This window comes from Homo sapiens, chromosome 3 (genome assembly GCF_000001405.40).
Source record: "Homo sapiens chromosome 3, GRCh38.p14 Primary Assembly".
NCBI classification, from domain to species: domain Eukaryota; kingdom Metazoa; phylum Chordata; class Mammalia; order Primates; family Hominidae; genus Homo; species Homo sapiens.
In genome coordinates this window covers 32557671-32581217 of record NC_000003.12, presented here as the reverse complement: position 1 = coordinate 32581217, position 23547 = coordinate 32557671, and the positions used below count along the sequence as shown (strand labels likewise).

Genomic DNA, 23547 nt, shown 5'->3' with positions numbered 1-23547 from the left:
AGTAGAGTGTAACACTGGAAATCTGAGAACTAAGTGGTACTAAAATCACTAAATAAAGGTAATGGACTTGAACTTCGGAGTATTTGATTACAAGAAAATTAGATCCTCCAAAAATATGTATAATAAATATGCAATTAACAATACATTAGTCAGTGGACCTTTTTCTTTCTTCTTTTCAGTGGCAAAGAATAGATTAAAACAATGATAACTAAGCACCCTAAAATTCCTATCTGTTTAGTATTGAAAAATGTGTAAGTAGATAATTAAAACACTTAAAGAATGCTTCCAGCCTAAAAGACAAGTGTCTTTGCTTTCCCTGTGCATCTCACTTAACATTAACATAATTTGCCCACTCAAGCTGCTGTATGAGTTGATTTTATAGGTTACTATCCTTCCATTCATCATCCATTTTCCAAGAATGAATATGGATATTGTGGTGAGAAGTTCAGTCTGAAATGAAAGGCAATTCTACTATTACCTTATCCTGGAATTAAAAAATATATATTCAGAGACGGTTATTTCTCAATGATACATTTCTAAGCCAATGAAAAGCAATTTCTTCGACAGGCACGGTGGCTCACGCCTGTAATCCCAGCACTTTGGGAGGATGAGGTGGGCATATCACCTGAGGTCAGAAGTTCGAGACCAACGTGGCCAACATGGTGAAACCCTGTCTCTACTAAAAATACAAAAAAATTAGGTGGCACAGTGATGCACTCCTGTAATCCCACGTATTTGGGAGGTTGAAACAGGAGAATTGCTTAAATTCGGGAGGCGGAGTTTGCAGTTAGCCGAGAGCGAGCTGTTGCACTCCAGCCTGGATGACAAGAGTGAAACTCCATCTCAAAAACACAAACCACAACCAAACAAAAAAATATTTCTTTGTAAAATTTTGTCCTAAAGTATACTTGCATGCACACATACACCTACCAGTACTTTTTTTTTTTTTTTAAGAAAGGTGGGATTTCACATTAGACGTAAAAATAAAAGCATTTTTTTTTTTTTAAGGTGCAGTCTCGCTTTGTTGCCCAGGCTGGAGTGCACTGGTTTGATCTTGACTCACTGCAGCCTCCACCTGCCAGGCTCAAGCGATTCTCCTGCCTCAGCTTCCTGAGTAGCTGAGATTACAGGCATGCCCCAGTATGTCTGGCTAATTTTTGTATTGTTGGTAGAAATGGGGTTTCACAGTGTTGGCTAAGTTGTCCTTGAACTCCTGGCCACAAGTGATCTGCCCTTTCCTGCTTCCCAAAGTGCTGGAATTACAGGCGACAGCCACTGCCCCGGGCACTTTCTGGCGGTTTCTCTGAAAAAACAAACACGTTAAAAGAGTCTATTTCTACTTTCTTTTAGGTATTTCTCCATCTCTCTGTGCTGATGTGTCTGGAATTGACAGGTTCTTCGTCTCACTGACTTAAAGAAGCCGTGGACCCTCACAGTGAGTGTTACAGCTCATAAAGGCGCCGCACGTGGATTTGCTCGTTGTGACATTCGGATGCTGAGACAGTTTCCTCCTTCTGCTGGGTTCACGGTCTCACTGACTTCAGAAAGGAAGCTGTAAACCTCCGCAGTAAGTGTTACAGTTCATAAACACAGCACGCACCCAAAAAGTGAGCAACAACAACATTTATTGCAAAGAAGGAAAAAACAAACCTTCCCCAGTAGGCAATCAAACCCGAGTGGGTTACCACTACAGGCTTGGGCAGCCTGCTTTTATTCTCTTATCTGGCCCCACCCACATCCTGCTGATTGGTCCATTTTACAGAGAGCTGATTGGTCTGTTTTACAGAGAGCTGATTGGTCTGTTTTGACAGGCTGCTGATTGGTGCATTTACAATCCCCGAGCTAGATACAAAAGTTCTCCAGGCCCCCCACTAGATTAGCTAGATACAGAGTGTCCATTGGTGCATTCACAAACCCTGAGCTAGACACAGGGTGCTGATTGGTGTGTTTACAAACTTTGAGCTAGATACAGAGTGCCAATTGGTGTATTTACAATCCCTTAGCTAGACATAAATGTTCTCCAAATCCCCACCAGACTCAGGAGCCCAGCTGGCTTCACCCAGTGGATCCCCCACTGGGGCCGCAGGTGGAGCTGCCTGCCAGTCCTGCGCCTGCGCCTTCACTCCTCAGCCCTTGGGTGGTCGATGGGACTGGGCGTCGGGGAGCAGGGGGCAGCGCTCGTCGGGGAGGCTCAGGCATGGTGGGCGGCAGGTCCCGAGGCCTGCCCTGAGAGAAGGCAGCTAAGGACCGGCGAGAAATCAAGCACAGCGCCGGTGGGCCGGCACTGCTGGGGGACCCAGCACACCCTCCGCAGCCGCTGGCCCAGGTGCTAAGCCCCTCATTGCCCGGCCAGCAGGGCCGGCCGGCTGCTCCGAGTGCGGGGCCCGCCAAGCCCACGCCCACCCGGAACTCCAGCTGGCCTGCAAGCGCTGCGCGCAGCCCCGGTTCCCGCTCGCGCCTCTCCCTCCATACCTCCCTGCAAGCTGAGGGAGCCAGCTCCGGCCTTGGCCAGCCCAGAAGGGGGCTCCTACAGTGCAGCGGTGGGCTGAAGGGCTCCTCAAGTGCCACCAAAGTGGGAGTCCAGGCAGAGGAGGTGCCGAGAGCGAGCGAGAGCTGCCAGCACGCTGTCACCTCTCACTAAGATATGATGTTCTGTGAGGGTCCACTTGATAAAAATCCCTAGGTGAGAAGCAAGAGGAAGGATAGGTCTGTAATTAGAGGGGCTGGTGACTGCAAAATGAATTAGATACCCATCATTTCATTCATTCTAAGGAGGTACTTAGAATGAGAAAAACATGACTCAAAGGAAAGCAAATATAAGCAACCGTGGGTGTTTGCTCGTCTTTAATGGGATCCCTGGTTGGGTCTGCTGGGAGAGACGGCTAGCAAGGACTCTGCAAATTCTAGCATTATCAGTTTGTCTCAAATGTCAGGAATGTTACCAAAAAAAAAGATTCACATATTGTGTAGAGGATGGGACTATTTAAACTCTGAAGTCCTTTTCAACGCTATCATTTGAATTGCTCAGAGTGAAACTTTAAGGGTCCACTCATCTTGCTTACTTCCTTTTTCTTTTGATTTTGGCTTTTCAGCCAGCATTTATATCAACTGTGACTGCCAGCATTTGGCACCATGGGTGAAGCAGGTTTTATTTGAAAATCTGCTTGTGGCAGCCTGTGGAACTGATATAATAGGAAGCAGCCCAAGTGGTAGCTGCCTTGTTTTGGTTCCCAAACAGAGAAGGAGGCATCCCCAAAAGAAAGAGGAAGTGGTTCTGCAGTACCCACCTCCAGACCTACGGAAAGTTCCCCTCCCAGTCAAACTAGTTTTCTGCAGAGCTCTTGTGTCTGTCCAGTGATCACTTTTCTTGAGATAGAGAAATACCCAATGTGACCTTGAGAAAGCTGATGAGTTTGCAGAGGACGCTGGTCGACAGAGAGAGAGGAGAGAAGAGAAGCAAGCAGAGAGGAGAGACGTGTAGCTCTTGGGAGACAGGAAGCTGGAGAGAGGAGGAGCTGTCTCACTTTTGGCTAGTGTTCCATTTCCCACTTACAAGCCCTGAGTCTCAGCTGAATTAGAAACCAAACTAAAAGGCAGAGCCATCTGGGATACACCCGGGGAATCCCAGTAGGACCTAAGCACTTCCCAGATTTAACACGGTAGTATTATTGATGAGCCTAAGGAAGCCAAGGGCCTTCAGGAAAACATAAATCTATATTTATATAACTTGTTAAAATAGGAAAGGAGTGGGGTGTGTAATATACTTTTAAGTGATTTATATTTTTAAAATGGTTAAGGCTGGGTGTGATGGCTCATGTTTGTAATCCCAGTGCTTTGAGAGGCTAAGACAGGAAGATGGCTTGAGTCCAGGAGTTTGAGACAAGCCTGGGTAACATAGTGAGAACTTCTCTCTACCAAAACAAAACAAAACAAAACAAAACAAACAAACAAAAATCAGCCTGGGTAACAAAGCAAAACCCTGTCTCTATAAAAACTTTGAAAATTAGCTGGGCGTGGTGGCTTGCACCTGTAGTCCCAGTTACTCAGGAGGCTGAGGTGGGAGGATCACTTGAGTCCAGGAGGTCGAGGTTGCGGTAAGCTGAGATCAGGTCACTGCATTCCAGCCTGGATGATAGTGTGACCTTGTCTAAAAAAAAAATGAGCTGGAACATGGTGGCACACAGGTATAGTCCTAGCTACTCAGGAGGCTGAGGCAGGAGGTTCACTTAAGCCCCAGGGCTCAAAATTACAGTGAGCCATGATTGTCCCACAGCACTCCAGCCTGAGCAACAGAGAAAGACCCTGTCTCTAAATAAATTAATTTAATGGTTAAAATATCATAAAAGAGAGCTCCTGCTTTCAGGTGTTAGAATGAAGAATTTTTATCTTCTTCTCTTAAACACACACACACAAGCATGTGCACACGTGCCCACACACACACCCCCCATTCTAAAATTTTGGAACACTGGTAACAAGTAGGTTCATTCATTTATTCATATCTTCAGCAAATCTTTACAGAAGGCCTGCTATGTTCCAGGTACTAAGTGCTTGGGATACATTACTGAAGAAGATAAAGATCCTTGCCCTCACAGAGCTTGAGTTCTACTAAACAAGTAAATCCTATACCATGTTAGACGATAATAAGTGCTATGGAGAACAAAAAGGACAGCAAGGTAAGGAGAATCTGGAATTTCAGAGGTGAAGGGCCAGAGTGCAATGTTAAATGGAGAGGTCAGGATAGACCTCACTGAGAAGTTGAGAATGGAGCACACTCACTGCAGGAGAAGAGGGAGTTGGCCAACTGGCTACCTGGGGGAAGATACTGGGATGGACAGCTCCTCACCTCCTTCAAAACAGAAGGAACAGCTAGAACGAAGGCCTCAAAGCAAAGAGACACACAACAGATTCAAGAAACAGCAGTGGGGCTGATGTGGCTGAAAGGGGGAAATTGAAGGGAAGAGTGGAACGGATAAAGTCAGAGAGGCGGTGGGGCCAGATCCTGCATGGCGTTATGGGTCATTGTAACATCTTTGTCTTTTCCTCCGACTGAAATGAGGAGCCACTGTTGGGTTTTGAGCATAGAAGTGACGTGGTCTCACTTACATTCTTAAAGGATCACTCTAGATGTTATGTTGAAGAGCCTTTTACAGAATTTAGGCAAGAAATGATAGCTCAGGTCAAAGGGTATCAGGGGAAGTGCGGTAAGAAGTTGGATTGTGGGTATATTTTGAAGGTAGAGACAACAGGATTCCTCATGGATTCAATGTGTGGTGTGAGACAAATAGAGAAGTCAAGCATGACTCAGGTTTTGGGCCTAAGCAACAAAGAAACAAGGAGTTGCTACCCAATGGGGAAAGCCATAGGTAGAAGATACTTTGTTCCCATAGGACAGAAGTTCAGTTTGGGGCATGTTGAGTTTGAGATATCTATTAGATATTGAAGTGGAGATGTGGAATAGGCAGTTGGCTATATTAACTTGGAGTTCCAGATGGAGCTCTGGGCTGGAGCAATAAATTTAGAAGTCTTTATCATATAGATGGAATTTAAAGTAGTTAGACTGGATGACATCACCAAGGGAGTGAGTGTAGAGAGAGAAGAGGAACAAAGACTGAGTCCAAGAGAGAGAAGAGGAACAAAGACTGAGTCCTGGGGTCCTTGAACACATAGCAGTCAGAAAAATGAGTAAAGAAAAGGAGACTGGGAAGGAACAGCTACCAAGGGAGGAAAAACACAAAGAGAACATGGTGACCTGGCAGCGACATGAAGGATATCCAGAAGGAATGAGCAACTGTATCCTGTGTTGTTGATAGGTCAACAAAGACAAGGATAAAGAGTGTACCATTGTATTAAGCAATAAGGGGGTCATTGACAAGGGTAAGAGCAGTTTCTGTAGAGTCATAGGGGTAAAAGCCTGATTGAAGTGAGCCATAAGGGCAAGGGGGAAGAGGAATTTAAGATAGCATAGAGAGACAATTCTTTTAAAGAGTTTTGATGGCAAAGAAAGGAAAGAGGCCCGGCGTGGTAGCTCACACTTGTAATCCCAGCACTTTGGGAGGCTGAGGAGGGCAGATCTCTTGTGATCAGGAGTTCAAGACCTGCCTGGCCAACAGGTGAAACCCTGTCTCTAATACAAAAATTAGCCAGGTGTGGTGGTGTGCACCTGTAATCCCAGCTACCCAGAAGGCTGAGGCAGGAGAATAGCTTGAATCCCGGAGGCGGTGGTTGCAGTGAGCCGAGATTGCACCACTGCACTCCAGCCTGGGAGACAGAGGGAGACCCTCAAATAAAAGGAAAGATATGTAGTAGTAGCTGGTGAAGGAATGGGGTTCAGGGAAATGTTTCTTTCTTTTTTTTAAAATTAGAGAATCAATAGTATGTTTGTATGTTAATGGCAATAATCTAGTGGAAATAAAAAATGATTATATAGAGAAAGGGAATAATTGTTGGAACAATGTCATTGAGTTGAGGATAGGAGATGGGTTCTAGTGCATAGAGAATGCTTTAGTATAAGAGTATGGATTATTCTTTCGATACTTAGCAGGAGGGAAGAGTATGAAAGTGCAAATAATGGAAGGGGGATAGATGTGTTAGTGGGAATTTGTAGAAGTTGCAAAGGATTCCAATAAGGAGAAAAAAGAACACATAACAAAGATTTAGAAATCAGAATGGCTTTGGATTTCTCAATGGTAACACTAGAATCTAACAGATAAGGGGGCCAAGGCTTTAAAAACCTAAGGGAAGATAGCTTGTAACTCAAGAATTCTATACTTAACCAAACTATTATTAAGTGAGGGTAGATTAAATGCATTTTCAAACACAGGAGGTGTGCTAGATATCTTGTTTGCCCCTTGAGATCCTTCTCTATTCCCACTTTGTGCTCAGGGAGGTAGACCTGCATGGATTGCTTCACTTGGGTCTCTTGTCCTCTGGCTCCTGGTTGGGTTTGGTCAAAGGGCAACACTGGTGGGAGACCAGGGGGCAGAAAGAAAGGGATGGATACTGTGTTCCTTTACTGAAGACTATAAATCTTGGTGGGCAACACTTTCCTATAAGCTGCATCTCTCTCTGGATTCTAGTAAACATTCCTTCCTCTATCCCTTTCAAGCCTAAGGCTTCCTGCTGTTGCTAGTCCTATCTCTTCACACTGTTCACACCTTTGTAAACAGTCCCTTTATTAAGCTTTCCTCTAGCACCCCCTTAAGAATGCCATTTTTCCTCTGGTTGACCTTGACTGGATACACTGGTGTCCAAAGACTTACCAGTGAGCCTTTTTATCAGAAAACTATTGGGGGAAGTTCTCCACTAAAACAAGAAGACACAAGATTGAGGCAAAGGGAATCTTCTGAACAATGGTGAAAGATCACAGGATGACAGCTGTGTATTCAGTTTCAGAATAACCAACTCAGAATGGAGCAGGCTAGAAGGTTCTTAAAGGTGTCTTTAAGAAGGTAAAATTGTTAAAATACCTAACAAGGAGTTTTACACAGCTGGGACGGGAATTTGAAACTGAATTAAAGACATGGAAATCTAAGCAAATGAAAAAGAAGATGGTTGGCCGGGCGCAGTGGCTCACGCCTGTAATCCCAGCACTTTGGGAGGCCAAGGCGGGTGGATCACCTGAGGTCAGGAGTTTGAGACTAGGCTGACCAACAAGGTGAAACGCCGTTTCTACTAAAAATACAAAAATTAGCCAGGTGTGTTGGCAGGCACCTGTAGTCCCAGCTACTCGGGAGGCTGAGACAGGAGAATTGCTTGAACCCAGAAGGCGGAGGTTGCAGTGAGCCGAGATCGCACCAATGCACTCCAGCCTAGGCGATGGAGCAAGACTCCGTCTCAAAAAAAAAAAAAAAAAAAAGAAAAAAGAAAAACAAGATGGTTATTAATTTTAGATGTAAGAAAACATTGGGCAATAAAGAAAAAGCAATCATAGTATAGAAAACAGGTCAATTATAAAACAGCATTTATGCAACAAAAATTCCAAGGGACTGATGAATTATTTCCTTTTATAGACTTCCTCATAATATATAGCTTCCCTATTTTTGTAATGTAGAGGTTTTCACAGAAGGTATTTACCAGAATAGCATCTAAAATTACGAGGACATTTATTTTAACATGGTTTGGCCTAGGTCATTTTACAGACTAGACAGTAAAAAATCTCAGCTTATCTATAAACTTCTGATCTGTGTGACCTGGGGTAGGTTACTTAATTTTGCTGACCCTTACAAAGTATGAGGATTGCAAATACAACACACAGAGTGCCTGGCACATAGTAGGCATTCATAAATGACCACTTTTGTCAGCCACCTTAATGGAAGAATGCTGGATAGGGATATTATAAAACCACAAGGAATACAACTTTGACCTCAATTTAGGTGGGTAGTTGAGCATCTGGAAGTCATGAGGTGTTGAAGCCTGACACTATTATAAAAGTAAACACTTCTCAGACTAAGCAAATATGATATGGAACTGACAACAAAATTGAGGGGAAAATGCTCTGAGGAAGATGACTGAAAGAATAAAGTACAGAGTAAAATGGCTTTCAGAGGGGCCAAGAGCAGTATACAGCTCTCCTTTAGAACAGTAACATAAAGACTCAGCTTCTCCTGGGGGTCTCCATCCTGCTTTGTGCCACAGAAAGTGTAGGACTACTGGGGAGGGTTCTGGTTCCTTTCTTAAGTATATAAACAACAAAATCAAAAGTTTTATTTTATTTATTTATTTATTTATTTAGTGACAGGGTCTTGCTCTGTCATCCAGGCTGGATTGCAGTGGCATGATCACAGTTCACTGCAGCCTCGACCTCCTGGACTCAGGTGATCCTCCCACCTCAGCCTCCTAAATAGCTGGGACTATAGGCACACACCACCACGCTTGGCTAATTTTTTGTAGAGCCGGGGTTTCGCCATGTTGCCCAGGCTGGTCAAGAACTCCTGGGCTTAAGCAATCTGCCTGCCTTGGCCTCCCAAAGCGCTGGCATTACAGGTGACAAAGAATTTTAGCTCCAAGAGTTCTTTAGGCCCATCACTTCTAGAGGTTGGTCAGATATTAATGGTGTGAAAGGTAAAGAAAGTCATTGATAACAATTAACATGTGGTAAGCGCTTAAGATTTGCCAGTCGTTATTCTAAGCCATTTTACATGAATCATCCCGTTTAATCTCAATAACAACTCTAAGTTCTTTTATCCTCATTTGACAGATAAGGAAACTGAGACTCACGGAGGTTAAGTAAATTGCCTAAGGTTACACAGCCAGTAAACTCGAAGAGCTAGACCTGAACTCAGATTTGCCAGCCTCCAAAGGCTTCCAGACTTCTAACCGTAATGCTAATATATAGCAAATAGTCTTTAGTTGTGGATTTTCTCACTAGCATAACAGCATTGATCAGGCCATATTCTAGCAAGTGATTTTCAAATATGAAGTGACAGAGATAACATACAAAGGCCAGGCAATTTTAAGCAAATGCTCTTACAGGTGTACTAGGACAGAGCCTTAAAACCAATGACTCCTTCTAAACATGGAGTTCAGACATTCAAATACCTTTACCTAGTAAAGTTCTAATAGAAAAGGAGTTATTTTAGGGCTAGTATAAGTCCATCCATGTATTCCCAGTGTCAACTGTGCTCGACGTAGTAAGTGTGGAATCAATGTCTAGTGACCGGTTAGATGACCCGCATAGTGGATCTTTTCAAATCTCACATGGAGGATCTCATACAAAAACATTAAGAACATTAAAGCAAGCCCTGACAATAATTTTTAAAAAATAACAGTCTATTTCCAGGGTAAACAATTACTTTGTCACGCCGCTGCTTAGGGGCTCGGAGAACCTGCTTCTGATGTGGGTCCAGGTTGAGGAACACTTCGCCACTTGAGAACGCAAATAAAGTCCAGAAATCCAGGACCACAGCAATACTCCAGCCCAGGGTTGCAGGGCAGCCTCTTTACCAGCCGGGCGACCCATTTCTATCTTGGCGCCGGCGAAGCGCCGGTTTGGGCGGGGGACCGCTCTCAGCCTGAACAGTGGGTGGGCCGGCAATGACAATGCAGGAATTCCGCGCAGGCCGCAGGGTTTGGGGACCTGTCTGAAGGGTGGGAGGGAGCACTTTTCACCTGACACACCCAACCCCCCTGCCGCAGCCCAGGGCCGCGGATGAGCGGAAGGAAAGCACTTCCATACTGTCAGATCACTGGGCTTCAGTTGCAGCATAGCGGCCCACCCCGCCGCCCGCGTACGCTCAGCCCCTCAGCGCCGGCCAGGCAGCCACGCACGCGCAGTCCGTTCTCGCTCGCTCCATCAGTCCTGGCCCGGCCCGGGGCCCCGCCCCCGCAGGCCCCGCCCCGCTCCCGTGCGCTGAACGCCCCATATCCGGGTTCCCGCCGCCTCCACCGCCACCGCCTCAGCCGCCTCGCACATTTAGTCTTGCCGGGAGTGGTGTGATTCCCGACCAAGATGGCGGCCGTGGGGCGAGTCGGCTCCTTCGGTTCTTCTCCGCCGGGATTATCCTCGACTTACACTGGCGGCCCCTTGGGCAACGAGATAGCGTCGGGCAACGGTGGCGCCGCGGCAGGCGACGACGAGGACGGGCAGAACCTTTGGTAACGACTCCACCTCTCCCTCAGCCCCCGCTGGCTCCCCCGGCCTTGCGCGGACGCCTCGGGATCCCGTGCCCGCTGGAGCTCGGCGCCGGGCCCGGCCACTGCGTTCCCGGCAGCCCCATCCCCGGCGCGCCGAGGCCGGGTCCGTCCCTCCCGCGCTGCGGCTCCGGCCTCCGGCCTCACCGTACGCCTTGCTTCCCGTTAGGTCCTGCATCCTCAGCGAGGTCTCCACCCGCTCGCGCTCCAAGCTCCCTGCGGGGAAGAACGTGCTACTGCTGGGTAAGTGTTCCCTGCCTCGCCCCGCCCCGCCCGGCCCCCAGCGGCCCGGGGTACCTGGTCCGCGGGCTAGCTCGCTGGCTCTCTTTGTGCGGACAGCCGGCCCAGCCCCGCCCCGCCTCGCCTCCCGACCTGTCGCGGATGGCTGGGAGAGAAGGGGAACACGAGACCCTTGACCCAGGACCTGCGGGGACCCGCCCTCCCTCAGGTTCCTCCTCCTCCTCCCCGGTATATGGGGGTGGCCCTGACAGCTTCCCCTGGGAAGGACAGAATTCGATCGCTCATCTGAGGGATTCTCGTGGCCTGGGGTTTATCTAGAAAATGACAGGTTTTCTTTCATCACAAAAATTGGTAGCAGGAGGCTCTTTGCGAGAGCTGCAGCGCAAATGGCATGCCATTAATATTTAATAGCTGACTCTTTGTATAATTGACAGAAGCTAGAACTAAGACCTGGCGATAAATGTTCTTGATTCAGCGTTCTCTGGTACAATGTGCTCGTGTTGCAGCTACCTTAACTGTCACATATAATTCTGAAATTTGTAAAGGGCAGTAGAACACAACTTTCTAGTTAAGTCTTTTCAGCCAAATGGATGTAATAAGGAGAAACGGTCCAGTGTCAGTTCTCCTGATTGTTCTGTATCTCCTCGGCTCTCTGGAAGTTGTGTATTCTGTTTCTTTAGTGACTCTGGGGGTGGGGATAGAGGACTGAGGGAGAATAGTTCGCAGATTCGCATTTTTCTAGGCTTAGCTCCTGAATCATTTATAGGAGAAATTTCTCTATATAGCTCTTTACATGCGAGATAACTGAAGTTTGGCTTATACGATGATTAAATTTAAAAACTTTGGTATTTGGTGTCGGCTCAATACCAGAGTTTTTTGTTGTTGTTGTTGTTGTTTTGGTTATATCCATCTAAAAACAGGAAACAAGAAGTCAAATACTACTTGATAGGCTGCGTGGTTAAATATGAATGTTTACATAGAAAAAATTACTTTTTTAATAGACTGCTGCCAAGCAAGAATATATGATTATTGATATTCTTTAAAGCTACATGGAGCTAGTTGAAAAATTAGTTTTTACCCTTGTTTTTAATGTGGTTGAAAGCACCTACTGAAGATTAGCCTGGATTGAGTCACTGCCCTATCACATATAAGCCCTAGGATCTTAAGCAAGTTGCTTGACATCTATAAACCTCAGTTTCTTCATCTTTAAAATGGTTGTTATAGAAATAATAATACTTGCCTCTAGGGTTGTGGCGGGAATCAAATGAGTTAATGTTTGTATCGTGGTAATATTTGCAAGTGATACTTTGTCATGGATTTATCTTAAACTGCATTAGAAAATATTTGTGATCAGAACTTTTTAAAAAATTGAATTAGTGCCTACATAAGTGATATTCATAGGGCAAAAATAAATTAGGATCCAAAAGCAAAAAAAAATTGTATAATATATTTTTAGTTTACTAATTTAAACAAATTACTACTCATTTCTAAGGTAAAATGGATTTAAGCTCATATGACCTCATTGAAATTGATTCTATTTTAATTAAATATTTGGAAACACTGTCATGGTAAAGGTAAGATTCAGTAGTTTTGTTCTTATTTTATACATTTTGTCCAGTTATTTCTGCACATTAGATATTGTGTAGATGATTCTGTTTATGGTAAAACAAAAGTGGCAGTTTTGTTCATTTTTTGGTATACCTAATTTGCACTGAGGTTGTGCCATTTTTTTTTTAACACCCCTTTGACACTGGGTCTGTGCATGGGACTGAGTGTTCTTAGAGGTCCCAGCCTCCTTCACTCCACCATACAAGAATAGATTAAATTTCCTTTTTTATGAACTTAATAGTTCATAAAGTGCATCTAATATCAGGTAATATGAGCTTGAAATTTAATATTTTTCTTTCAGTACTATTGGGATTTTCATCAGAGAGTCCTTTTCAGCTTTGGAAGGAGCTAATAACTGATTTGTATACTGGTTACAAAAATAGAGTTAACTTTCTAAAATACCCCTGAAGATTTCTTACAGACATTTCACCGTCACATATGGCAGCATTCACTCTGTGCTGGTGGAGGAAAGAAATACCAAATAGGGATTGTGGTTTTCTTTGTTATGAGTTTGAAGGTGCTAGGCAGGAGGATGCTTGACCCTAATACATCTTTCATGAATGCAAGTGGTCTCTGGAGTCTCTTATTTAAAAAAACAAATCTAAGGCCAGGCACAGTGGCCCACGCCTGTAATCCCAGCATTTTGGGAGGCCGAGGGGTGGATCGTTTGAGCTCAGGAGTTGGAGACCAGCCTGGGTAGTATGGTGAAACCCCATGTCTACAAAAAATAAAAAAATTGGCCTGGCACGGCAGCTCCTGCCTGTAATCCCAGACTTTAGGAGGCCTAGGTGAGCGGATCACCTGAAGTTAGGAGTTAGAGACCAGCCTGGTCAATATGGTGAAACCCCATCTCTACTACAAATACAAAAATTAGCTGGGCATGGTGGCACACACCTGTAATCCCAGTTACTCGGGAGGCTGAGGCAGGAGAATTGCTTGAGCCCGGGAGGCGGAGGTTGCAGTGAGCCAAGATCGTGCCACTGCACTCCAGCCTGGGTGACAGAGCGAGACTCTGTCTCAAAAAAAAAAAAAAAAAAGGCCGGGTATGATGGTGCATGCCTGTAGTCTCAGCTACTCAGGAGGCTAAGGTGGAGGGACAACTTGAGCCCTGGAGGCAGAAGTTGCAGTGAGCTGAGATTACGCCATTGCACTCCAGCCTGGGCAACAGAGTGAGACCCTGTCTCAAAATAATAATAATAATAATAATAAATAAAATAAAAAACCAAATCTGAGCCTATGACAAGGCTTTACATTTCAGAAACAACCTAGAATAGGAACAATGATATAGCCCTAAGTACTCCCCTCACAACACACACAAATTGCAGTTTAGCTTGCCACATTCTCTCTCCTCCTACAACCTGATGGGAGTAAAGGGTCATGTATGTGTAGTAACGTGTGTATGTGTAAGAGCCATTGTCAAAGGATTTTCATACAAATCTCATTTCACCTCCTCTCTCCTCCCTGATCAGGGCACCAATTTATAGATGGGGTAATGAATTGTAGAGACCTGTTAAGTGGATTTTCCAAGGTCACACAACATAAGGGCCCTGTTCTGTGACTCTGGCATGGATTTCTAACTTGATAGAAGTTCCTGCAAGGGAGAGAGTGCCAGGTACAAAACTCTTTCTACTCAAAGCCTGTCTTTGAACAAAAGTACTGGTAATTATTTTAAAGGAAAATCCAAATATTTATTGGATTCTGGGATGCAGCTGTTGCAATGGCACTTGTGTTTAAGTAATCATTTAATCTGCCTAGGCCTGACTTCTAATGAAATCCAAAAAGTCTATGATATTAACTCTTCTTTCTTGAAAGGTTTTGAGAATGGATTTCATTAAGATTTGTTTTTAATAAAGGTAGGACTTCTTGCACATGTATTTTAAGTAGGTTCTAACCTCTAAATTGTTTTTTTAAGAACTGCATTTTCATTTTTACCTTTTATATTTAATTACTTTTAATACAATTGATTATATTTGTTTTTTTGTTTGTTTGTTTGTTTGTTTTTGAGATGGAGTTTCACTCTTGTTGCCCCGGCTAGAGTGTAATGGCAAGATTTCGGCTCACTGCAACCTCCACCTCCTAGGTTCAAGCGATTCTCCTGCCTCAGCCTCCTGCGTAGCTGGGATTACAGGCATGTGCCACCACACCTGGCTAATTTTGTATTTTTAGTAGAGACAGTTTCTCCATGTTGGTCAGGCTGGTCTCGAACTCCTGACCTCAGGTGATCTACCCGCCTTGGCCTCCCAAAGTGCCGCGTGAGCCACTGCGCTGGGCATATTTGTATTTTAATAGCTGCCTTTAAAGGCAGTTTCTCCATATTGATTACTTTCCCATGTTTTGATAAGAAAACTCCCTAAGGAAAATAAATAATAATACCTAACATAGAGCACTTACAGGTACTAGTCATGTAAGGATTGTTTACATACTCTATCCCCTTAAAGATCAGGAAACAGACACAGAATTTTTATTTTTGAGGCAGGGTCTTACTCTGTCACCCAGGCTGGAGCGTAGTGGCATAATCTCGGCTCACTGCAACCTCTGCCTCCTGGGCTCAAACCGTCCTCCTGCCTCAGCCTCCTAAGTAGCTGGGACTACAGGTGCGTGTCACCACTCCTAGCCAGTTTTTGTACTTTTTGGAGAGATGAGGTCTCACCGTGTTGCCCAAGCTGGTCTTGAACTCCTGGGCTCAAGCAGTCCTTCTCTCACCTCAGTCTCCCAAAGTATTGGGATTACAGGGGTGAGCTACCACACCCGGCCAGAAACAGAAATGTTAAGTAAATTGTCCTAGGGTTACATAGCCAGGAGGTAAAATCAGTATTCAAAATTTTGCAGCCTGAGGCCGGCCCCATGGCTCCTGCCTATAATCCTAGCACTTTAGGAGGCTGAGGGGGTGGATCACCTGAGGTCAAGAGTTCGAGACCAGCCTGGCCAATATGGTGAAACCCAGTCTCTACTAAAAATACAAAAATTAGCCAGACATAGTGGTGGCTCCTGTAGTCCCAGCTACTCAGGAGGCTGAGGCAGGAGACTCGCTTGAACCAGGGAGGCAGAGGTTGCAGTGAGCCAAGATGGCGCCATTGCACTCCAGCCTGGGTGACGAGTGAAACTCTGTCTCAAAAAAAAGAAAGAAAAATTGTGCAGCCTAGCTCCCCGAGCTAGTACTCTTAATCTATAGAATCTCCCTAAAGGAAAAGAGCTTTCCTTGTAAGTAAGAGGATGCTTAGCAGTTATTAAGGAATTTTATCTGATTCTTCTCAGTGTGTATCTTTTAGTGCAAGCAATAACACTTATTTAGATTAATTGAATTCATTGTCAACAAAGGTACATATGTAATCCTGGTCCCAAGCACAGTGACTGGTTTTTAGATAGGACTTCAGTGTAACTTTTTGATTTGCTGTCAGTGTGAATTAATGAAAACTAGGTGGTCCTTTGTCAAGTCATATAAGCCTCATCTTTCTCATCTGTAAATCCGGCTATTTGAATTTAATGATCTCCAAAGCCTTATTTGATCTGACATTTTATAAATTTTCTTATTTTAATCTTGTGAGTTATTGAATATTTTTAAAGAAATGTTTTAAGGCATATTGAAATTGGGTTTTAATTAATTAATATAGATGTGGGCCATTTAATTCCACCCCGGAAAGAAATGTAAAGTTGCTATATTGTTCTCTGAAGGTATTAGTCCACGGTAATATGCAGCCAAAAGTCCCACAAAATGCTGAACATCATCAATAAGTATATGTGAAAGTCTTTTTTCCCCCCCTTCAGGAATAAAACTATTATGCTTGAGCTATTGTAGGAAACCTTAAGATATGCACAGTGGAATTCAGAGATCTGTTAAGAGAAGTAACTTGTAACTGGCAAGGGAGTGTATGGTTTTCTATGTGAGGACTGATTATAAAAATAATGAGAGTGTTCAGTCTAAAACTATTGATTTGGTGAGGAGCTGGGATTAAAGATCATCAAGGTTCCATGAGTTATGCTGTTTTCTGGCATGACTGGTTATGGGAATATGATGCAAGGAATAGACTGTTACCATATATGATATTGACTTTTTTCAAAGAATTAGCATGAAATTATTTATTACATGTTTATTATATGTTACTACTACTAAAAATACACCAAATATAAAGTGTTTTGAGAGTAAGATGGCATAGTGGCATCTTATAATAGAATCAGCAAACTCTTTTGTCAAGGGCCAGATTGTAAATAGTTTAGGCTTTGTAAGTCATATGGTCTCTGTTGCAACAACTCAGTTCTGCTGTTGTAGTTCCAAAACAGCCATGGATAATATGTAAATGAATGGGTACAGGCTTGTTTCAATAAAACTTTATTTATAAAAACAGGCAGCAAGCCAGTTTTGGCCTGTGGCCTGAAGTTTGTGAACCTCTGTGTTTGTTTGTTTGTTTGCTTGTTTGTTTGTTTATTTAGAGATGGGGTCTTGCCCTGTCACCTAGGCTGTAGTACACTGGCACGATCATAACTTATTGCAGCCTCAAACTCCTGGGCTCAAGAGATCTTCCTGCCTCAGCCTCTCAAGTAACTGGGAATATACAGGACTGTAGTCCCACCACGATGGCTAATTTTAAAAATTTGTTATATTTTTCTAGAGACAGGGATTTACTATGTTGCCCAGGCTGGTCCCCAACTCCTGGGCTAAAGTGATCCTCCCACCTCAGTCTCCTGAATCACTGGGGTTATAGGTATGACCCACAGCACATGACTGTGTTAGGGGATTATTGGCGTCAGTTTTATCAGTAAGCACAAATGCCAGTTAATAGAGATTTCTAGTTAATGGGATATGGTGTGTGGCACATAATAGGTGCCTAGTGAATATCTGTTGAACAAATGATGAACAGTCTTTACTTAAAGTATCATTGTTATTCCAGTTAGGTATAGTTTGAGCACAGGTTTAAGAATTGTTAAGAGGACTTCATATAATATTTCCCCCAGTGCTACTGTCAAAAGCAGAAAACAGAACTGGCAAATCACAGATACAGGCTGGTAGAGCAGTAATTCAGCTGGTGTGAAATCCATGTGAGAGGGAATGTCAGTAAAAGCACTTAGAAAATATAAAACAGAAAGGAGTCTTGAAATAGGAAAAGAAAAGTCTAAAATTTAGCGTGGGACTCTGTCACTAACAAGTCTAAGTGGCCGGGCGTGGTGGCTCAGGCCTGTAATTCCAGCACTTTGGGAGGCCAAGACAGGCAGATTACTTCAAGTCATGAGTTCGAGACCAGCCTGGCCAACATGATGAAACCCCATTTCTACTAAAAACAGAAAAATTAGCCAGGTGTGGTGATGGGTGCCTGTAATCCCAGCCACTCGAGAGGTAGAGGCAGGGAGAATTGCTTGAACTCAGGAGATGGAGGTTGCAGTGAGCCGAGATCGTGCCACCGCACTCCAGCCTGGGTGACCAAGCAAGACTCCATCTCAAAAAAAAAAAAAAAAAAAGTAAGTGACCATGGACTAACCTTTTTGGGCCTTATTTGCTTTATTTGTAAAATCAGGACAGTGGCTATTAGAAAGACCCCACAGATTACCATTTTATTCTTTTTTTCACCAAACATTTATTAGAGACATGTCATGTATAAAATGCTTTGCTGAATCATCTGGGGTAAACAGGATGACTAAGACTCAGCTCCTGCCCTCCAGGAGCTTATAATCTCCTGTGGGGAAGAGACTCAAAGTAGTAAAGATCAAGTATGTCGGTATGAAATAATTGCTAAATAGGTCACGAAATATTTTGCGGATGAGGTGGTATCTGAGTACAATTTTGCTAAGAAGGGTGAGGGGAGAACAACCTGTGAAAAGGGCCTAAAACGCAGAGAAAAGGGCCGAGGCAGTTTAGATATGGCGGAAGGAGTCCTGACGAAAGCCACAAGATCTTAAGAGTCAGCCTCCCTATCCTTTGAAGTGGTGGAGTTGTGGACAAATTAGAACCTCCTGACCTGTAAACTGAGATTATTTCATGCATCATGGGATTAAAAGAACCAAAAGAAATTATGTCTAAAACACTTTCCTCTCAAAATTGGAAATCACTATTTTAAATTATGAAAGTAATGCATGTTTCTTGCCAGAGAAATTTAAAAAAAGGTAAGAAGATAAAGTGAAAATAGCCATGCTCAGTGGCTCCCGCCTGCAATCTTAGCACTTTGGGAGGCCAAGGTGGGGGCATGGCTTGAGACCAGCCTGGGTAATACAGCAAGACTCTGCCTCTACAAAAAAAATTTTTTAAATAGCTGGTGTGGTGGCACATGTCTTTTGTCCCAGCTACTTGGGAGGCTGAGGCAGAAGGTTCATATGAGCCTGGGAGTCCAAGGTTGTAGTGAGCTGTGATCACACCACTGCACTACAGCCTGGGTGACAGAGCGGGACCTTGTCCCAAAAGAAGGAAAGAAAGAACATGAAAATAATGCATGATCCTACCACGTAGAGGTAAGTGTTCATTTTTTCTTATTTATTTATTTTTTATGTTTTAGAGAGAAAGTCTTGCTCTGTTCCCCAGGCTGGAGTGCGGTAGTGTAATCATAGCTTACTGCAGCCTCCAATTCCTGGGCTCAAGTGATTTTCCTGCCTCAGCCTCCTGAGTAACTGGGACTACAGGACACCATACCTGGCTAATTATTTTTTGGAGAGATGGGAGTCTCACTATGTTGCCCAGCCTGGTCTCAAACTCCTGTGCTCAAATGATCCTCTGGTCTTGGCCTCAAAGTGCTAGGGTTATAGGTATGAGCGTCTATTAACACACCAGGTCATGTTCATTTTCTCTATGTGAATATTTTTTTCTTAAAAATAAATCATGATTTATATTATTTGTTTGCAATCAGATTTTTTTTTAATGTCATGTACCATGGTTCACTTCGTGTAACACGGGTTTTTTTTTTCATGTTAATAGATACGGCTTTGTTTATTGACTGAATAGTATATATAGATATACCATAATTATAATGGATTGGTAGACAGATTATTATTGTTATACCTCATTTTCCACTTGTCCAGTATTTTCTTTGGGATAAGTTCCCAGAAGTGGAATTGTTAGGTCTTTTAAATCTTTCTACATAAGTATTGTCAGTCTTCTAGGAAAGTTATACTATTTTACTTTTTTTTTTTTTGAGATGAAGTCTCGCTCTGTCACCCAGGCTGGAGTGCAGTGGTGCCATCTTGCCTCACTACAACCTCTGACTCCCGGGTTCAAGCAATTCTCCTGCCTCAGCCTCCTGAGTAGCTGGGACCACCGGCGTGTGCCACCACGCCTGGCTAATTTTTCGTATTTTTTAGTAGAGACGGGGTTTCGCTGTGTTAGCCAGGATGGTCTCGATCTCCTGACCTCATGATCTGCCTACCTCAGCCTCCCAAAGTGCTGGGATTACAGGTGTGAGCCACCACGCCTGGCCACATTTTTACCATCAGTATGTGAGAATACTTGTTTGTTTAGCACCATTGCCAATACTAAGTATTATTCATTTTAATCTTTGGCTATCTAGTAGGTTAAAAATTTGCATCTTAATGTAAAGGTGATTTAATTGTAGAATACATACCATATTTGATTAAGAACCATTGCTTTAGTGTGACTTTGACCTCCTAGGGCATGGGAACTATTAATAGCCATTGTAATCAACCACTGTGCTTAGCATTTACTGATCTTGGTAGATATTTATTGGATTAAACTAAATGTTTTCTTTGGTGTGTGTGTGTTTTTTTTGTTTGTTTTTTTTTTTTTTTTTTTTTTTTTTTTTTTGAGACGGAGTTTTGCTCTTGTTGCCCAGGCTGGAGTGCAGTGGTGCAGTCTTGGCTCACTGCAACCTCCACCTCCCTTGTTCAAGCGATTATCCTGCCTCAGCCTCATGAGTAGCTGGGATTGCAGGCATGAGCCACCACGCCTGGCTAATTTTGTATTTTTAGTAGACGGGGGTTTCTCCATGTTGGTCAGGCTGGTCTTGAACTCCCGACCTTAGGTGATCTGCCTGCCTCATCCTCCCAAAGTGCTGGGATTACAGGCATGAGCCACTGTGCCCGGCCAACTAAATGTTATTTTTAATTCATATCTAGACAGCCCGTGGGAGTAAGGAAAATGATTAAGGATAAGTTCTGTTTTTTTTTAATGTAATGTGAATTGCTGAATGATCAATCCAAAGGTAGGGCTTTGGCCAGCTGCAGGGCTGGGAACTATCATGTATTGTGTCTGTTACTTGTGTTGGGTGTTCTGCTAGGTACCGTATTATGTAGCATGTTTACTATTTTACAGGAAAGGGTTTTAAGCCCTAGGTTACACAACTGAGCTGGAATTCATTTTATTTATTTATTTTTTGAGACAGAGTCTTACTGTGTTGCCCAGGCTGGAGTGCAGTGGCACGATCTCGGCTCACTGCAACCTCCGTCTCCCTGGTTCAAGTGATTCTCCTGCCTCAGCCTCTGGAGCAGCTGGGACTACAGGCGTGCCACCAGGCTTGGCTAATTTTTGTATTTTTAGTAGAGATGGGGTTTCACATTGTTGGCCAGGCTGGTCTTGAACTCCTGACCTCAGTTGATCCGCCTGCCTCAGCCTCCATAAGTTTTGGGATTACAGCTGTGAGCCACCACGCCTGGCCTTCAGCTGGAATTCAAAATTGGGTTTGTCTTTTCGCTCTACAGGCACCCCTTGACATGTTGGAGGGATGTAGTCATGAATAGGCATGCATAAATTTTTACTTACAGTCACTTTGTGTCCTGCATTTTGTTAATAGTCTCTCCCTACTCTTACCTACCAATGTGAGGGAGGAAGATGCCCTCTAGGAGATGGGGAGCACACCTAAAGTCCCTCACCCTACCTGGGTCCTCCAGATAACCTGTGGAAGGCCATGCAGAAGATGTACGCCACAGGTAGTTCAGTGAAGACCCCTCATGGCTCTTGTCACCAGAGCTTTCAGATAAAATAGGATAATTTATGTTATATAAGTCCAAATCAAAAATGTCAGCTTTACAATGTTGATATCTCAATTGGATAAGGAAGGGATATAGCACATTAGAATTCCCTGTCTCCTGATGTTCCTGATGCTGGGGACCATGTCAAACAGTGGCATGCGTACTTGGGAAGTGTTCAAGATAGCTATTATCATTAAAGTATTATGTGTTCTTAATTGTTTTGCTTTGACTACTGATTTTTCACAATTCCTGTTTTTATTGTTATATTTTTTAAACTGCTGTATAAGTTACAAAGGAGTTGGGCCGGGCATGGTGGCACACGCCTATAATCTCAGCATTTTGGGAGGCCAGGGTGGGCAGATCGCTTTAACTCAGGACTTTGAGACCATCCTGGGCAGCATGGTGAAATCTTGCTCTACAAAAAATACAAAAATCAACCAGGCATGGTGGATGCACCTGTAGTGTCAGCTACTCAGGAGGCTGAAGTGGGAGGATCACTTGAGCCTAGGAGATCGAGGCTGCAGTGAGCTGAGATCTTGCCACTGCACTCCAGCCTGGGCAACAGAGTTGCCCTGTCTCACACACACACACAAAAACTATATATATATGAGTTTTATTTCTAGTGTATTACTGATCAAGAAGTAATGGATGAAGCTGGGCACAGTGGCACACACCTGTAGTGCAAGTTACTCGGGAAATTCAGGTGGGAGGATTGCTGGAGCCCAGAAGTTCAAGACTAGCCTGGGCACCATAGACTCTGTCTTTAAAAAAAAAAAAAAAAGTAGTAGTAATGGATGATAATAGTACAGCATTTTAAATCCATCACTATAGAGATGGTCTGATCTTACTCTCCTCGATTTAGAAGTTGGGGAACAAATGGAATTATTTGACAGGTTTACACAATCAATAATGACAGTGTTGCAGTTAGAAATCACATTTCTAAGTCTTCACAGTTCTAATCTGTTAATTGTTGTTATTATTTTTTTTTTTTTTGAGATGGAGTTTTGCTCTTGTTGCCCAGGCTAGAGTGCAATGGTGCGATCTTGGCTTACCGCAGCCTCTGCCTCCTGGGTTCAAGGGATTCTCCTGCCTCAGCCTTCCTGAGTAGCTGGGATTACAGGCATGCACCACCACACCCGGCTAATTTTGTATTTTTAGTAGAGACGGGATTTCTCCATGTTGGTCAGGCTGATCTCGAACTCCCAACCTCAGATGATCGGCCCGCCTCGGCCTCCCAAAGTGCTGGGATTACAGGCGTGAGCCACCGCTCCCGGCCCCCTGTTAATTGTTATTATGAAGTTGATGGAGATTACATTCTATTGTTGAGTTAGAGATCTATCAGGGAGATAAAGCAGTATCACCCTGTACTGTTTTGGTGACCATGTGTGGAATCTGAGATTTTCTTTTTCTTTTCTTTTTTTTTTTTTTTTTTTTTTACATTTTTAAAGAGTTGGGGGAATAAAACAAAAAATGTGTGACAGAGACCCATGTGGCCTGAGAAGCTTAAAGTATTTGCTGTCTAGTCCTTTACAGAAGAAGTTGTCTAGCACCTGCATGTAGACATGAAAACTAATAGTATTGCTTTTATGAAATTGTTGTTGTTGTTTGAGACAGGGTCTTGCTCTGTTGCCCAGGCTGGAGAGCAGTGGTGCAGTCACAGCTCACTACAGCCTCAGCCTCCTGGGCTCAGGTGATCTCCCACCTCAGCCTCCTGAGTAGCTGGGGCTACAGGTGTGTGCCACCATGCCTGCCTAATTTTTGTATTTTTTTGTAGAGATGGGGTTTTGCCATGTTGCTCAGGCTGTAATGAAATGATTTGTTTTTTTAAATATGCCCTCTTTAAGAAAATTTAGTATATAAACATGCAAATTTAGATAAAATATTCAGAAAATAATTTTAGCATCATCACCTAAAGGGTTCTTTATGGAAGGGCTTTCATCCAGTCTGTTTGAACAGGAACTCTCTACTTGCGTAATTGTATGTTTACAGATCGTTAACTATTTGGCTGCCAGTCTTAAAGCTGATGTGTCTGTTTCACTGCCAGCTGAAGGCCAAGGAACTGAAGATAGGTAGCTGGATTATTTCAAGTATCGTTGGAAACCCCTTTTCTGTATTGGCCACTTTAAAGGTATATTAATTGTGTAGAATAAAGTAAATTATTTTATTTTA

General features: G+C 43.6%; 1 protein-coding gene and 1 long non-coding RNA gene across 4 annotated transcripts in view, besides 4 other annotated features; one reads left to right on the top strand and one right to left on the bottom strand.

Annotated features, from left to right (window-relative positions):
* Window positions 1-1608: 1608 nt before the first annotated feature.
* On the bottom strand, window positions 1609-2510 carry LOC124906226 (uncharacterized). Its single transcript, XR_007095860.1, has 2 exons — window positions 2473-2510; window positions 1609-2226 (listed from the first exon to the last, which is right to left on the bottom strand). It is a non-coding gene; the product is annotated as an uncharacterized LOC124906226 (long non-coding RNA).
* Window positions 10163-10422: a silencer, noted in NCBI's record as "silent region_14176". NCBI's record gives its function as "represses an Ori minimal core promoter by ATAC-STARR-seq in GM12878 lymphoblastoid cells {active_cell/tissue: GM12878}" and the evidence as "EXISTENCE:reporter gene assay evidence [ECO:0000049][PMID:35858748]".
* Window positions 10163-11152: a biological region, named in NCBI's record as "H3K27ac hESC enhancer GRCh37_chr3:32611558-32612343".
* Window positions 10360-23547, top strand: part of DYNC1LI1 (dynein cytoplasmic 1 light intermediate chain 1) — a 44885-nt gene continuing 31697 nt past the window's right edge. For 2 of the 3 annotated variants that reach the window (NM_001329135.2, NM_016141.4), the window contains exons 1-2: window positions 10360-10593; window positions 10799-10872. In NM_001329135.2, coding sequence (NP_001316064.1) covers window positions 10448-10593; window positions 10799-10872 — 220 coding nt within the window. In that variant the 5' untranslated portion in view covers window positions 10360-10447. Of the gene's footprint in view, window positions 10594-10798; window positions 10873-23382; window positions 23507-23547 lie in introns of those variants that run through there. The other variant, XM_047448246.1, reaches the window with a different exon arrangement.
* Window positions 10367-11152: an enhancer, noted in NCBI's record as "H3K27ac hESC enhancer chr3:32611558-32612343 (GRCh37/hg19 assembly coordinates)". NCBI's record gives its function as "activates a minimal SCP1, AML or CMV promoter by ChIP-STARR-seq in naive H9 embryonic stem cells {active_cell/tissue: H9 hESC(naive)}" and the evidence as "EXISTENCE:reporter gene assay evidence [ECO:0000049][PMID:30033119]".
* Window positions 10603-11092: a silencer, noted in NCBI's record as "silent region_14175". NCBI's record gives its function as "represses an Ori minimal core promoter by ATAC-STARR-seq in GM12878 lymphoblastoid cells {active_cell/tissue: GM12878}" and the evidence as "EXISTENCE:reporter gene assay evidence [ECO:0000049][PMID:35858748]".